Consider the following 16,627-nt stretch of genomic DNA (forward strand, 5'->3'; position numbering starts at 1 on the left):
AAATCTCTTAAATATATCTCTTTTTTTTAAAAAAAGTCTTCGTGATAATGTAGCAAAAGTCAAAGGTGAAGGATGTTCTATTTTAAATGATCAGACTCCAAATCAACACTTGATTCATTCTTTGTTCCAAGACTTACCACAGCTACAATCCTATCTACACTAAATTTTATGAAACTTAAACCTCCTTCATAATTTTACATTTTGATTTTGAGAAAAACTTCAAAGGAAATGTGAAAGGTATTAGGACTTTAAGTTCTTAAGGGATTTGTTTAACCTGGGCCTTTTTAGGACCAATTATCCATGGATTACACTTACTTGTATCCTCATTTCCTTAGGGATCAATTGTTTTTTATACAAAGGTAGAGGTGTTGATTGAAAAGTTAGTTTTAAGTTTATATTAGTAAAAAGAAAGCCAGAGAGCCAATCAATATGGTCTAGTTCAAATGTGCCTTTATTTCAATGGCAAAAAAGCATTAATCTTATATAATTGTTGAACAGTTACATACATCTTAAGAACAGTAAACATACATCCTAAATAGCAACTCATAAAGTGTATGTTAAAATAGGCCCACCAGATTATACAAGATGAAATATAAATGTTTGTTGGTAATTTGAACAAATATCCAATAAAATATTAAGAAACCAAGGTTTTAGGGTGTTAGTTCCTCACATTCCACACAAAACTTCCAATGCTGATCCATTATGTGGCATGGGAGAAATTCTTGATCACTGATTAATAGTATTTCATTTATTTGTAGATAACGTGGGCTGCTTTGCATTGACTCTCTGGAAGTTCCTGTTTAAAGAAGTATCAACAAATTAAAAACTGCCCTCTGAAATTTAAGATGTAAATTTTGCTATTACAAATCCTAGAATCCAATCAAGTCTATTTGAGAGCACACATAACAGGTTTTCTGATCAGGACCTTTTCCCTCAACCTATTTTCTGTACTCAAGACAAAGCTATGAACCAGCATTGGTTGATCTTGGGAAAGAGGGGCCTGTTTGAAGTCTAAAACATCAGCAGAAAAAGGATGGTGGAAGCTTCTGAAGGTAGTGGTACAAGCTCCTCTCTGCCTCAATTTCCAATAAACGGAGAATAAAACAGTTGTATTAACTGAGATTTTGCATGTGAAATTCTTAGCATACCGCCGGGCATATAGCAAACAATAAATACTAGACGCTATTATTATTTAGTACTAAAAAGAGTATTAGGCTGCATGATTTCTAGTCCTGCCTCTGCCACAAACTTGGTGTGTGATCTCAAGCAAGTCATATGGCTTTTCCAGACTTCCATCTCTGAGATGTGAGAGGAGTGATGATAAAGAGGGTTCCTTTTGGCTCTGCCAGTCTATGGGGCTAATGGTCCTAAAACTGGTTTCTTCAAGCTCCCTGACAGTCTGAGAGATTTTTTTTTTTCTTCTCTGAGATTGGCTATATGAGCTGTACATCATTCAGCAAGTTGAATCTTATTCCACAGATAGCAACAATATGAGTGTCACCTCTGTATGGCCAACCCTTTCTTCATGCTTGGCCCACATGCTTCTGGTAGAGTTGTTTTCAACCTCCTGATTTGCTTAGATCTACACCAATGAGTGAACAGGTATAGATTCAGGGGTCAGAACATATCCCATTCAGAGAGAAGTGACATGTAATGAGTTTTTTGTTTTTGTTTTTGTTTTTTGGTTTTTTTTTTGAGATGGAGTCTCACTCTGTTGCACAGGCTGGAGTGCAATAGCATGACCTTGGCTCAGTGCAACCTCTGCCTCCGAGGTTCAAGTGATTCTCCTGCCTCAGCCTCCCAAGTAGCTGGGATTATAGGTGCCTACCACCACACCCAGCTAATTTTTGTATCTTTAGTAGAGATGGGGTTTCGCCATGTTGGTCAGGCTGGTCTCCAACTCCTGACCTCAGGTGATCCACCCGCCTCAGCCTCCCAAAGTGCAATGAGATTTTTATTGGGTATTTTGGCAAAGAGTCACATACAGAGTCTTCTTTTTTAGACTTGAACCTGGAAGCATGTAGCCCTGGGATGATGAGAAGAAAGGCTATTAGGATGGCGCCAAAATGAGGAAATGGAGCTGAGAAATGGAAAGCAAGAGAAACTGGTGCTCTGTCATGCTCTTTGAACCCTGAATGAAACCTGAAGATCTGTTCCTGGTCTTTCATGTAAATGAGTCAATAAAATTCCTTTTTGAGGGGTTGAGGCCGGTCTGATGTGGGTTTTAAATCATCACTTATAATCCAAAGAATTTAAACTTTTTTACACATGGTCCATATGTAAACATAGTAACTCCTTTATTAGGAGCTTTGTTTTATAGACTTCCGGAAACAAGGTATCTCATAAAAGTTAAGGAATATTTTTTTCTTAGGAAAAACCCATAGAAATAAATCTTTACATATTAATTTAAATTCTTTTCATCAAAATTAGCCTAGTTTCATCATTTAAACACTATTATTTAACACTGGTCTTTTCCTCTATAAGATACTATCCCCCACTTTAGTTATGATTTGAAAAACTTAATGCATCTACCATAATTTGTTTATAATTCATAATTTATTCCTCACTTTTCACTATTCAGGCATGTGCCAATACTTCTATAGGATTGATACTCAGAAGCAGAATTACTGAGTTGAGGGGTCTGTAAACATTTTACATTTTAAGAGGTTCTGCCAGAGTGCCCTCCCAAGTGCATCCTTTTATACTACCACCAACAGTATTATGAGACTATGTGTGACAGTACCTGTTCTTTTCTTCCACATCTTTGCCAATACTGAATATTATCAGTCTTTTTAAGTTTTGCCATTCTGATGGTAGAAAAATTTGTCTACTATTTTCACGGGCATCTTCCTGATTAGTATTTAGCATAAGCATCTTTCATATACTTAGCATCCATTAAAGTTCCTAGGACTAGGAAAGTGTCTATTAAAAATTTTGTCTGGGGCTGGGCATAGTGGATCATGCCTGTAATCCCAGTACTTTGGGAGGCCAAGATGGGTGGGTCACCTGAGGTCAGGAGTTCAAGGCCAACCTGGGCAACATAGTGAGATCTTGTCCCTATAAAACAAAATTTGTCTGCATTGATTTGGTCAAATATTAATCAGAGCATGGAGCTAATTAGGTCAGGAATTTAATATCTGTATGTATCAAAATTCTGTTCCAAAACTGTATTCCTTAGTTCACTTGTCACCTTCAGTGGAGCGTAAATGTTTCCTTAAATCTAGTGTTCCAAGTAAAACACAGTTAAAAGCTCATGTTTTGGTAACAGCTCTGAAGTATCTATACACTTAAATATTTAATTCAGCCACTGCTTTAGAGAATCACTGCTTATAGTTCTTATTCTATGAAGACTAAAATGAAGTTTTGAGGTAACTCATTTTTGTAACTTTTCAAAATATTAAATATTTTAATAATATTTAATATTTTAATAATATTTAATATTTAATAATATTTAATATTTAAAAACATATATCATTATTTAGCAACACATTGAAATGACTGCTGGAAGTAGCTGCAATACTTCTTATTACCACTTTCCACAATGTTATATGAAACTGCCAGCAAAATCAACAAGATCATAATGCCTAATTCAAGCACAGTTTAACTGACATCTGAGAAAAGCTGTTTTGTTTTTTTTTTTTTTTGAGGTGGAGTCTCGGTCTTGTCACCCAGCCTGGAGTACAATAGTGCAATCTCAACTCACTGCGACCTCTGCCTCCCAGGTTCAAGCAATGCTCTTGCCTCAGCCTTCTAAGTAGCTGGGATTACAGGCACCCACCACCACGCCCGGCTAATTTTTTTGTAGTTTTAGTGGAGATGGGGTTTCACCATGTTGGCCAGGCTGGTCTTGAACTCCTGACCTCAGGTGATCTGCCCACCTCGGCCTCCCAAAGTGCTCGGATTACAGGTATGAGCCACCGCGCCCGGCCGAAAAACTGTTCTTAATAAAGCATAGCAGAAATGATTAGGGATAGGGCAGGAATCTTTTGACACCATGGCACTGGCAGTTCCTAGACGTGGTGCCAAAGGTGCAGAGCAGGGAGGCCTCTAGCTAAGAGGGTACACACAAAGCCCCATCACTTTACACTTGTGCTCTCTTATAGTCTTTACTCCTTCATAGCCAGCATGACTCCAACCACATTATCCTGTTGTGAATCCACTGTGTGAATTTTCAATGTAAAGTTTCCTACAATGTGCCAGATTACCCAATACAATTTACTTTGTCTAAATTGACATTAACTATTATTTTATAGCTTCCTAAAAAGGACTTTTGGCAGAGGCTATTAGTTACCTCTATTTTTGCCTTTTTGTTTTTCTCCTCATTAACAATCATAGGCAATGTGTCACACAGAAAAACTATATTTTTCAGACTTCTTTGCAGCTAGGTGTGGCATATGACTAAACTCTGGCTAAAGAGATATAAATCAAAGTGTTGTGTTTGACTTCAGGGGAGGCTCCTTAAGGGGACAGACAGCTAGGAAGCCCTTTTTTTTTTGCCTCCCTACTTTCCTTATTCCTAATGCCTAGAATGCAGATGTGATGGCTAGAGATTCATAGCTATTTTGGACCATGAGTTTACTTCAAGATGTAAACCAGTACAAAGGAAGATGGAGTAGAAAGACTTGGTGACTCTGTGTTGCTGCTGTGCCTCATCTGGAATGCTACGGATCCAGACTTCTAATGAACGACTAAATCTTTGTGTGTTGAAACCACTGCTATTTGGGGTTTTCTGTTGCATGCAGCCAAACCTAATCTTACATAATACAGAACTTTTGAACTCTAAGAAGTAGATGGGATATTTCTGCAAAGACCACTAAGTCTACCTTGGGGCTTTCTCTTTGGAGGCACAGAGAGATCACGAATATTTAAGCACGTAGAGGATCATGATATGAAAAAATACAAGCTCCACAAAATATGCCAATTTTGGTATCATTTTTACTACAATAACGATATTACAAAACTTCCAATACATGAGGGCAGATGAATAGATGGCTGAAAAGATGAATACACACAGAAATATCCATACGTTAAGGTATTGGTATTAGGATGTTGGAGTGTAAGACCTGATATATAAATGCAGCCATCTTTATAACTACGATAATTCCTATTGTTCCACAGTGATTGTTTTAGGAACTTTTCATCTCATTTGATCCTCTTGAGATGATGCAGCCACATGTTAACTTGGGAAAAGTTGGGAAAAATCAGAGCAAGGTGGACTTGTGGGCATAAACCCTAGCATTTCTCTCCAAAAGGGAAGTCTTGCTACAAAAGTTACAGGCCTAGCCAAGTGCAGTGGCTCAAGCCTATAATCCAAGCTACTTGGGAGGCTGAGATGGGAGGATCACTTGAGCCCAGGAGTTTGAGGCTGCAGTGAGCTATGATCCTGCCACTGCACTCCAGCTTGGGTGAGAAAGTAAGACTCCATCTCTTAAAAAAAAAAAAAAGTCACAGGCCTAAATAAAAGTGCTTGTTTTAAAGGGAGGACCAGACACACTTCAAATAAGGTGAGCTTCATCTTATTTTAAATAAGAAATCATCACTATGTTGTTTACACAGAGAAGATCACCATCCAAAGTACAGAATAGTAGGCAGTGGCTCCAGAGGCAGCAACATGCCCATCTTCTCAATTAATACACTGAAAATAAAGTGGCTTGAGCTTGGGAGGCTTGAGATGATATAACAAAATTGTTTGGAAAACAGTGCTTTCTTATGGACATTTGTTAGCTTAGTAATTTCTGGAAGTGGAGTTTTCAATTTAAAAATGCTAATGTTAAACCTTTTTTTCCTTTTGCCTTACCATTCCCATCACTGATCTTTGTCAAATGAGAAAATACCACATAATGTGAAAGCTTTCTGTAAAACTGTAAAGTGTTAGTCAATAATACTTTGTATTCTAAACTAGCTTTGCTTGGAGATAAACCTGGTCTCTCTCTCCCTTAAAAACTGCAATGAATTAACAGAATAGGGCCATTTTAGGCCCACCTCCTCTTTTTAAAAAATTTTTTTTAAAGCAGGGCTGACTTTATTACTAAAGTCAATAGGGTATCATGGTTTTGATTTATATCTTTCTCAACAGGTTAGCCATGAATGGCTAGTACAGCCATAAGACTTATATAGTTTATATTCCAGCTTGTTTTAGTATTCTACAGGCATGGCAGTCAAAATCCCATCCCCAACTCCACTCAAGTTCACTGTCAGCATACATATACTTCTCAATTTCCTATAATCATAGGACTTTAGGAAATTACAAGTGGCTGGCTCCTCAGTAGCAGAAGGCGGCACTTCCAGGGTAAACCCATGGAAATGAAGCTCTGAGAACATGCATGTCAGATCACAAAGCATAGTGTTAAGGCCACCAATAGTTTCTTACAGAACAGTTTCCTTTCCATAGTGATAAGAATGGAAGAAAAAGAAAGATCATCCTTACAACACACTTGTTCTCATCATCTTAATCTTTTCTGCTCCTTCTCCTCTACTGCACTAGGTCTCCCTAAACTCCTTCCACCATAGCATTCCCTACCCATTTCATTCCAGCCAGTGCTGTCCCATACTATGTACTTTAGCAGGAACCTGCACTTTTGGCTAACCACTACTGCCAACTTCAAATTTTCTTTGTTGAGATCCACAAGAAAATACCCTATATATGTGAGTGGAAAACCAACAAAACAAAAAACACACACATAGAGAAATCTGAGCCGACTAGGATAATCCCCAACTGAGCCAAATAGGCTAATCCCCATTTAAGTAAATGTAAGAATACAGTACCTGGTTGACAAAATAATCTGTACACCAAACATCTGGGTTATTAGTTTACATATGTAACAAACATGCACATGTACCCCTGAACCTAAAATAAAAGATTTTTTTTTAAAGTAAAGGTAAAGATACAGCAAACTGATTTCAAATTTTTGTTCTGTTTGAATTTTTAATAACATTTCCAGGTTATTTTATTATATAAGAGCATTAAAATTATTTGAATCATTTCAGGAAAATAACATTCAGCAAAGTTAGAGCTAAAGAACCTCCCTAGCTTCTTCCTTTTTAAAACTTGAACAAACCTTTGCTCCATGTCTATATATTTCTACACAAAAGCACAAATACCAGTATGTAATAATATTTTTAAAAATTGTTTGCTTTTTCTTTTCTTAAAAATCACAACATATATGCAGTTTATTACACCTACCTTAAATAAGTAAAATGTATTATGAGTTCTATTATCAGTCTTCTGAGAAATAAATAATAACCTGTAACTACTGCAGCCAAAGACACAGTTCTAGAATGGAGATGTTCTTCTGTAAGCCCCAGTCTGTGCTCACTCCTCAGTTTATCCTGGGATGTTTCCTTCTGGTTTCAAGGATTCTATTACTGAGATTTTAGGGTTTCACTTTTGTACATGCTCCAGGTATGGCCTATGGGTATGGTTTTCCCCACCCTCTCCTTGTTCCACCTCTCCTTCCTGCCCAGGTAACCAATGATAACAATCCAGAGTTTATCTTATCCTTCTAAAATTTATTTATCTGCTTTTATAATATTGCACAATTGCCTAGCACTTTTTGATACTTTAATACAAAGCATGCGAGACAAGAAAGGGAAATAACCTAAGAAGTTAGGAAACTGAGACTTAAATTTTATCTTCTTGATTTAATAATTCAATTATAATACTCAATATACTCACTGTTACTTATTAGGAACTTAATAGGTTGTATAAAATACAGGAAGTTTAAATATAAAAGAAAAGTGAGCAAAATTTCACCACCAATCCAACCATACCCTTACTTTAGCCCTTAAAACTACTCCCACCAAGCTTTGGGCCAGTGAAGAGAGATGGGAACAGATAAAGACACCTAAAAAGACTGAAAGCTTTCCAACACTAGTTTTGCTTCCACTTTAGCTCTGACAGTAATGTTGAGGGGAGGAGGGTGACAGAGGAAATGAAGTATCAAGATTTAGATGTTGCATGTAAAATGTTCAATATCATTTATAGGATGTTTTACTCTGGATCCATTAGTAATTATTACTGTCCCATGGAAAGATATTTCACCAAACAGGCCCAAGAGTAGTTGATACACGAGGTTCACTTTTAAGTCTAAAATTTTTGAACTCAGTCTTCCCGGACTTGTTCTTACATATTAAGCACTCTATATCTCATTAGGGTTATGGAATGAAACATTGCTTACTCTGAATATATATATATATTTATTCTAATGAGATATTTTTACTCATGACACTTTGACACCAAATGTGCGGACTTTTTTCCTCACACTAACCGCTGGTCCAACCAATCAACTGTCCTACAATTCAATTTAATTCTGACACTAATTAACTGTAGTTAACCTCAGATTCCACAGGTTTAAGGGTTCAGTCTCACACAACTGCCCTCACTTCAGACACCAGTTGCAGATATCAGTTACTGGGTTGCCCACAATTCTATCTAACTTGTCTACAAATTAGAGGGTTTCCATAGTGCCTCTACCCCACCCCAAGTTTCAATAATTGGATAGAATGACTCACAGAACTCAGGAAAGCACTTTACTTCCGGTTACTGGTTTATTATAGAAGATACAACTCAGGAACAGCCAAATGGAAGAGATGCATAGGACAAGGAGCATCCATGCGATCTCTGGGCATGCCACTCTCCCAGCACCCTGATGTGTTCACCAACCCAGAAGTTCTCTGAGCCCCGTCATTTAGTGGTTTTTAATGGAGGTTTCATTAAGTAGGCATGATTGATTAAATCATTGGTAACTGGTGATTAACTAAATCTTTAGCCCCTCTCTCCTCCTGAGAGGTTGAAGTGTGGAGCTGAAAGTTCCAAGCTTCTAATCAAGGCTTGGTCTTTCTGATGACCAGCCCTCATCCTGATGCTATCTAGGGGACAGCCAAGAGTCGTCTCATTAGAACAAAAGATGCCTATATCACTCTTATCACTTGGAAAATTCCAAGAGTTTTAGAAGCACTGTGGCAGGAATTAGCGACAAAGACCACATATCTTTCTATCATATCACAATTCTGGATCAGAAATATAATTCTAATCAAAAACAAAATGATTAACAATTATCTCAATAGGTAGTAAAAATACATATGCTCTAGTTATATTGGGAAAATATTCTATTATTGTTATTTTAATATAAAGTTCAATGCCTTTTTTAAAAATAAAAGGATCCTAAAAGCTAAATATGGTGATGGAGTATTACATAATTTGCTATTTAAAACCAAATTAATAATTTTTTGTTGTTTTTACCCAGGCTGAAATGCAATGGCGTGACCATAGCTCACTGTAACCTCAAACTCCTGGGCTCAAGCGATTCTCCTGCCTCAGCCTCCCAAGTAGCTAGGACCACAGACATGCCCCACCATGCCCAGCCAATTTTTCCATTTTTAAAATAGAGACCGGGTCTCACTTTGTTGTCCAGGCTGGTCTCAAACCCCTGGCCCCAAGCAGTCCTCCTGCCTTGGCCTCCCAAAGTGCTCGGAACACAGGCATGAGTCACTGCACCTGGCCTAAATTAATAATGTGATATAGATTTACATTAATAAGATTAAAAGCCACCTGAAAAACTACTAAAATCAAGAAATAAACCTGAAGTATAATTATTTAGAAGTTTAAAACTATTTAAGCCCTCACTCTTTGGGGGGGGAATTAAAATCTTATAGGTGGTTTATTAACCTGAATTGGGTCTGAGGTACTTGATTTTTATATATAAAGTGTTCAGGTTTTTTTGTGTATTTGGTTGTACAAAAACGAACCCTGAAATTCTACTAAAAAGAAGTTCTTGGCCGGGCGCGGTGGCTCATGCCTGTAATCCCAGCACTTTGGGAGGCCGAGGTGGGCAGATCATGAGGTCAGGAGATCGAGACCATCCTGGCTAACACAGTGAAACCCCGTCTCTACTAAAAATACGAAAAATTAGCTGGGCGTGGTGGCAGGTGCCTGTAGTCCCAGCTACTCGGGAGGCTGAGGCAGGAGAGTGGCATGAACCCGGGAGGCGGGAGGCGGAGGTTGCAGTGAGCCGAGATAGCGCCACTGCACTCTGGCCTGGGCGAAAGAGCGAGACTCCGTCTCAAAAAAAAAAAAAAAAAAAAAAAAATAGAAGTTCTTAAGTGGTCTAATGTATACAAAATAACATAGCAGAGGGCCTGCCACATGGCAGACAATCAACAAATATTTAATTTTCTTCTCTTTCCTTTCCTGTAGGTAGATATATTATCTACCTTATGAGTTAGGTTAAAAGAGTGTTAATCATGATACCAGAGTGAAAAAAATTAAGATTAAAAAAATGAAAAAGAATCGAGAGTGGTAAATAAGAGCTGAAATAAACACCCTATGCACTGTTATCAGGTACCCATCTTTGGGTGTTCGAGGTTTAAAAAGCGCTTAACCACATAAAACAGAAGCACCTGTGGATGTTTGTGTTCTATTATGTATACTTCTACAGAGAAATGACAAAGCATGATAATAGAACTGAAATGAAGAAAACTCCATCATTAAAGTCATTTATTTACAACAGATTATCAGTAGGACCGTTTTATCTAACGGACCATTTTATTAGGAACAAAAAAATAGCCTATTTTTTTCTGGAAAAGCATGTGCTATTTTCAAATGAACAAATGATGTTAGGTCCCCATGAAAGAAAATATATTTAGTAAATTATTATAATGATGGCTTGGGAAATAAAAGACTTCAGGTGATACTTTTATTTTTTTGCTTAGATGAATACACTTAGCTTAATGTGTTTTGAGTATCTTGGTACTATGGTGACAGGAAACATAAATATATAAAATTGGTTTTCCTGGTAAATAATGAAACGTGATCTATCTTAACAGAATTAAAAAAGAAATAACTTTGTGAAAAATATGTCAATACATCCATACCTAGTGATAACAAATAATGTAGAAATTTGGAAATGCTTATTTTTTTCCCTTCCAGTTTATACTGAAATATCAGTGAGGATTCCCTCAATAACACAGAAGAGGAACAATAGCCAAATAGGCAAAAAGGCGAGAGGCTTGGGAGGAAGTTTTGAAATTTCAAGGGAAAATGCCCCATAGACTCACTCCATTTTAAAACTTAAAAGGACTTGTAGAGATCATGGATGGTTCACAGTTTTCATCAATATTTCATCAACAGAATTTCATTTTTAAAGGTTTGTGTTTTTATGTTTCAAGTCTTTAATTAGAAAGAACACATACCTTCAAATGTGTTAATATACCACATTTTAACACTCTGGAGTCCATCAATGCATTGACTTGAGTTACCAATTTAATTAGTTTTTGTATACAATTCAGAATAAAGCTTTTCCATCATCTCTGATTCACTGAAGAAAGTTGTAAGATGGCAAGATTAAAAATTTTTATCATTTGTCTTCATGATTCAGGATTTTCTTGATACCATGTATCCGAAATGATATGTAAACAGATTGGATATTGAGGCTTCTGCTATTTGTTCTATTGAATGTGAACAGATATCCTCTAATTCAATAAGTTTAGGAAATACTGATTAACAAATTTAAATAGAATTCTTTATGATTTCTCATAAAGAGGGAGAGGGAGAATTCGCTTTTAAATTTCTGGCTGAGAAAATGTGAAAGCCACCACTCTTTTTTTTTTTTTTGAGACAGAGTTTTGCTCTTTGCTCTTGTTGACCAGGCTGGAGTGCAGTGCAGTGGCATGATCTCAGCTTACTGCAACCTCCGCCTCTCGGATTCAAGCAATTCTCCTGCCTCAACCTGCTGGGTAGCTGGGATTACAGGCATCTGCCACCATGCCTGGCTAATTTTTTGTATTTTTAGTAGAGATGGGGTTTCATCATGTTGGCCAGGCTGGTCTTCAGCTCCTGACCACAGGTGATCCACCCACCTTGGCCTCCCAAAGTGCTGGGATTACAAGCATGAGCAACTGCGCCCGGCCAAGGCCATCCCTCTTATATCCCACAATTAGAAGCAGTAAATTCAGGTCTGGGCATGGTGGTGCATGCCTGTAATCCCAGAACTTTGTGAGGCTGAGGTGGGCAGATCACTTGAACTCAGGAGTTCGAGACCAGCCTGGGCAACATGGTGAAACTCCCTCTCTACAAAAAAAAATTAGCTGGGCATGGTGGCATATGCCTGCACTCCCAGCTACTTAGGAGGCTGAGGCAGGAGGATCACTTGAGCCTGGGAGATCGAGGCTGCAATGAGCCGAGATCGTGCCACCACACTCCAGCCTGTGTGACAGAGCGAGATTCTGTCTAAAAAAAAAAAAGAAACAGTAAGTTCAGATAAAGGAGATAGTATTAACTAACCAAAATCCCATTTACCATTTGTTAAATTCTTCACCACAAATTCCATTATAGCCTATAAGATCTAGGTATGTCCACCTCTTAAGACAATCAAAGTAAATCCAGTTTTAAAACAGCAATCTTTTAAATCACGTTCATGCTTTCATTTACTTATTCATTCATTTATTTATTCAATGAGCATTTATTGGAAAGCTATGGTGTGCCAGGCATTGAAGAATATAAGAAGTAAGAGTTCATAAAAGTTCTCTGAAATCAAAGATCTTCTTAGTCTATCAGGAAATAAAGATGATGTAACCAGCAATTATTTATAATATGGAGTGATATGCATAATATTTGACAATCTATTTGATCTATTTGCACAATATGTAGAATCTAAACACTTATAAAAGTAAATGGAATTGAATATTTTCTTTTTTTTTTACCTTGTCCAAATTTTGTTTTCTCAAACATTGATTTGTTTGGTTCCTGTACTGGGTCATCTAAACAAGCAACTTCTGAAAGTGAAACAAAACGTTAGTAATAATTTTGCTGAATTAGGGGACTGCTCTGGTCAAATCAGGATGATGGTCACCCTACCGATGGGAAATACAAATAGCTCTTCCTTGACATTTTAGGAGAGATGATTTAAAAAATAAAATAATAAACTAAAAATGGCTCTTCCTACTTCCCCTTATTTCCCCAAAAACAGTATTCTAAAAAGTATGGTCATCAAAAAGCATAAGAGAACAGATTATGTTTGTGACCTGAGGTAGGCTGATGAAAGCCACACAAAATTATTTTTTTTTTTTAGACTTTCTGGTCTCTACAGTGTCAGAGCCATGATTTCCATGATGATATTTCGATATGCAGAAGAGGGAGAAAGATTCTCTCCTGAGAGTTTTTCTTGTAATAGGGTTAGAGAGTTTTGCATTGTCCTAACTTGCCAGGTCTCTGGGTTTCTGTCAGGTACCACAAAACCAGCTACAGAAGAATTCTAATTAAGGAGATTCAGACAAAATTCCAACAGCAGCCTACAGAATGCCAGCAGGGCTCTGCCTATAGATTCTTAGGTCCAGACCAAGGTAGCAAGAAGCTGGTTGGCACACTGCTACCTCCATGGTTCTTAAATTAACATTAAAATTTCCTTTTCTTTTTTTTTTTAAGACAGAGCTTCGCTCTTGTCACCCAGGCTGGAGTCCAATGGCGCAGTAACATAAAAATTTTCTGAAATATCTAATGGAAAGAAAAATCAGGATTTGTGAAAATAAATAAATAACAGGAAACTGTTTATATTACAGGCAACAGAAATAGCAGTTCAGAACCCATTTCTGACTTCATGCTCACTTAAAAGGGAGATTGTGTGCCCTCTGAGGAAGGAGATACCTATCTAGGGTTGGAAATGCCTGCCTAGAACTAGAAAATCTGAGGAACAGATGACCTTCATGATAGAAGGAAATACTTACTGCTCTGCTTCAACTCTTAGGTTAGAAACCAGAAGAAGAAAGCATTTGTTTGGTTTTCCTTCAAGTGTGTGTTTGGGGTGGGTGGTGGGGAGGAGGCAGAGAGAGAGAGAGACAGAGAGAGAGAGAGAGACAGAGAGAGAGAGAGAGAGAAAGGGATGGAGCAACGGGGGCGGAGAGAGAGAGAGAGGATAGAGTACTTTAGCAATTCCAATTCCACCCTCAGGAATCAAAGTAAAGGGGTGAATATCAAGGACTGTCAAATTATTATTTGCACAAGAAATCAAATACTATTAGTCATCCAAAGTCTATAGTCAGGCTGGCTGTGTAAGAGTCACTTTAAAAAATTCAGGTTACTGGGCCTTACCCCATGATTTGATTAGGTAGATTAGATAGGTAGTCAGCTTAGGAACCAAAGGCCATGAACTACTACAAGAACTCTTTTCAATTTCTTAAGCCCTTTAACTTCCCCACAGTTATTAATGTTACCTGTTTTAATGTTACCAGTTATTAATATTACCAGTTATTAATGTTATCTGTTTCCCAAAAATGATGAAAAACACTTTTGAGGCTATCTTCAGAAAACTGTGGAGAATGCACCCTATTAATGGAGCCAGTTTTTATGACAGAGGAGGATCCTGAGAAATTAGGGTGCAAAAGTTAGGAAAGGAATGTAGTTTGAATTATTGGGGCTTGTTATAGGAAAGGAACAGTCCCAGGGAGGCCCTGGGTAGGGACTTGGTGATAGAAACCCTGTTTAATTCTTGGCCCTGGTTATCACAGTATCATCATTTTTTGTTTTGTACCTCCTCTCTTCTGTATTGTCCCCAAATGGTCAAAGACAGGGACACTAGGAAAAAAAAGAGGGGATGCTGTAGCATAGGAGGGTAATATAACTGTAGTTATGGCTGTTATTCAGAAATGTGTGCTGCCTTTTTCCAGATCATTTCAAAATCTGCTGCTCACTGGTGAAGACTACATTCTCTTTAGTTTACTCAGGCTAAAGGCTATTCCATCTGATAAAGGGTATTAGTTTACTCTAATAAGCAAAGATTTATTTTAATGCTTATTTTTAGAAAATAAACAAAACCAAATCATGTCTTCAGAAAGAAAAACAACACTCATTTTTTCCTTTTATATGATACTTAAAAATCTATCCAAAGTAAGTACAGCATAGATTCAGAGAAAGGAATTGTGAGGGATGGGGTAATTTCTTAAATTCTGCTAGAATTAACTAAGGTTAAAAATTGAGTGCTATAAAACAAACAGAAAATAACAAGTATTGCAGAGATGCAGAAAAACTGGAACCCTTGTACATTCCTGCTGGGAATGCAAAATGATTCAGTTGCTATGGAAAACAGATTCGCTGTGCTTCCTACATAGAATTACTATGTAATAAATATTGAGTATCCTTAGTCCAAAATGCTTGGGACCAGAAGTATTTTGGATTTTAGATTTTTTCAAATTTTGGAATATTTGCATATACATGAGATATCTTGGGGATTGGCCCAAGTCTAAACATGAAATTCATTTATGTTTCATATACACCTAAACACAAATCCTGAAGGTAATTTGATCCAATCTTTTTAATAATTTTGTACATGAAACAAAGTTTTGACTGTGACTTGTCACGTGAGGTCAGGTGTGGAATTTTCCACTTGTACTAGCATGTCAGCACTGAAAAAATTTCAGATTCTGAGATTTCAGATTTCGGATTTTTGAATTAAGGATGTTCAACCTGTATAATAATTCCACTCCTAGGCACACACCTAAAAGAATTGAAACCAGGTGCTCAAACAAATATACATATGTCTATTCATAGCAGCACTATCTCTAATAGCTAAAAAGGGGAAAGCAGGCCAGGCCAGGCATGGTGGCTCACACCTGTAATCCCAGCACTTTGGGAGGCTGAGGCGGGCAGATCACCTGAGGTCAGGAATTTGAGACCAGCCTGGCTAACATGGTGAAACCCCGTCTCCACTAAAACTACAAAAAATTAGCCGGGCCTGGTAGTGTGCACCTGTAATCCCAGCTACTCGGGAGGCTGAGGCAGAAGAATCACTTGAACCCAGGAGGCAGAGGTTGCAGTGAGCTGAGATTGTGCCATTGCACTCCAGCTTGGGCAACAAGGGCAAAACTCTCGTCTCAAAAAAAAAAAAAGTTGGGGGGGAAGCACCCTAATGCCCATCAAAGGATGAGTGGACAAATTATGGTAAATCCATATAATGGAATATTATTCAGTCACAAAAAGGAATGAAGTATGGATACATGCTATGATGTAGATGATCCTCAAAAACATTATACTAAGTGAAAGAAGTCAGACAAAAAGGGTCACATATATTGATTTCATTTATATGATATATTCAGAATAAGTAAATCCATACAGACAGATAGCAGACTGGTGGTTTCCAGAAATCGGGAGGAGCAGAGAATGGGAAACAACAGCTGAGTGGGTACAGGGTTTCTTTTTGGGGTGATCAAAGTGTTTTAGAATTATATAGAGGTGGGTGGTTGCACGACATTGTGAATTTACTAAATGCCACTGAATTGTTCACCTTGAAATAGTTAATTATAATGATTGTTAATTTCACATCAATGAGAAAAAAGACAAAATAAAATGAGTGCTTTTCCAGTAGGTTTTGGTGTTTTATCCCACAACGAAGAAATGAGTGTTGTTCTGTACATACCTGGAAGACAAGGTTGATATTGCTGAGGTACTGAGTTTGGTTCTGGAAGTATGGGTGCATCCTCAGAAACATACCTTAAAAGCTCCTTCCCAAGATACGTTACCTGCACATAATTAAGCACAAAATTTATAAATCATACATTCTGTAAGAAGGAAATACACCTATGTCCTGAACATTGTAATTTTTATAAGGTTTTGATTGTTGTATGTTGTGGATTAGCAAGC

General features: G+C 37.5%; 1 protein-coding gene across 14 annotated transcripts in view; it reads right to left on the minus strand.

The window, feature by feature from the left end:
- The window catches only part of ANKRD31 (ankyrin repeat domain 31), a 168,582-nt gene continuing 152,383 nt past the window's right edge, over positions 429-16,627 (minus strand). For 12 of the 14 annotated variants that reach the window (NM_001164443.1, NM_001372053.1, XM_017009319.2 and 9 more), the window contains 3 exons: positions 16,404-16,506; positions 12,700-12,771; positions 429-796 (listed from right to left, as the gene is read on the minus strand). In NM_001164443.1, the coding sequence (NP_001157915.1) occupies positions 651-796; positions 12,700-12,771; positions 16,404-16,506 (321 nt within the window). In that variant the 3' untranslated portion in view covers positions 429-650. The remainder of the gene's footprint in view (positions 797-12,699; positions 12,772-16,403; positions 16,507-16,627) is intronic. The other 2 variants (XM_047417078.1, XM_011543300.4) reach the window with 1 other exon arrangement.

This window comes from Homo sapiens, chromosome 5, assembly GCF_000001405.40.
Source record: "Homo sapiens chromosome 5, GRCh38.p14 Primary Assembly".
In the NCBI taxonomy this organism is placed as follows: Eukaryota; Metazoa; Chordata; class Mammalia; order Primates; family Hominidae; genus Homo; species Homo sapiens.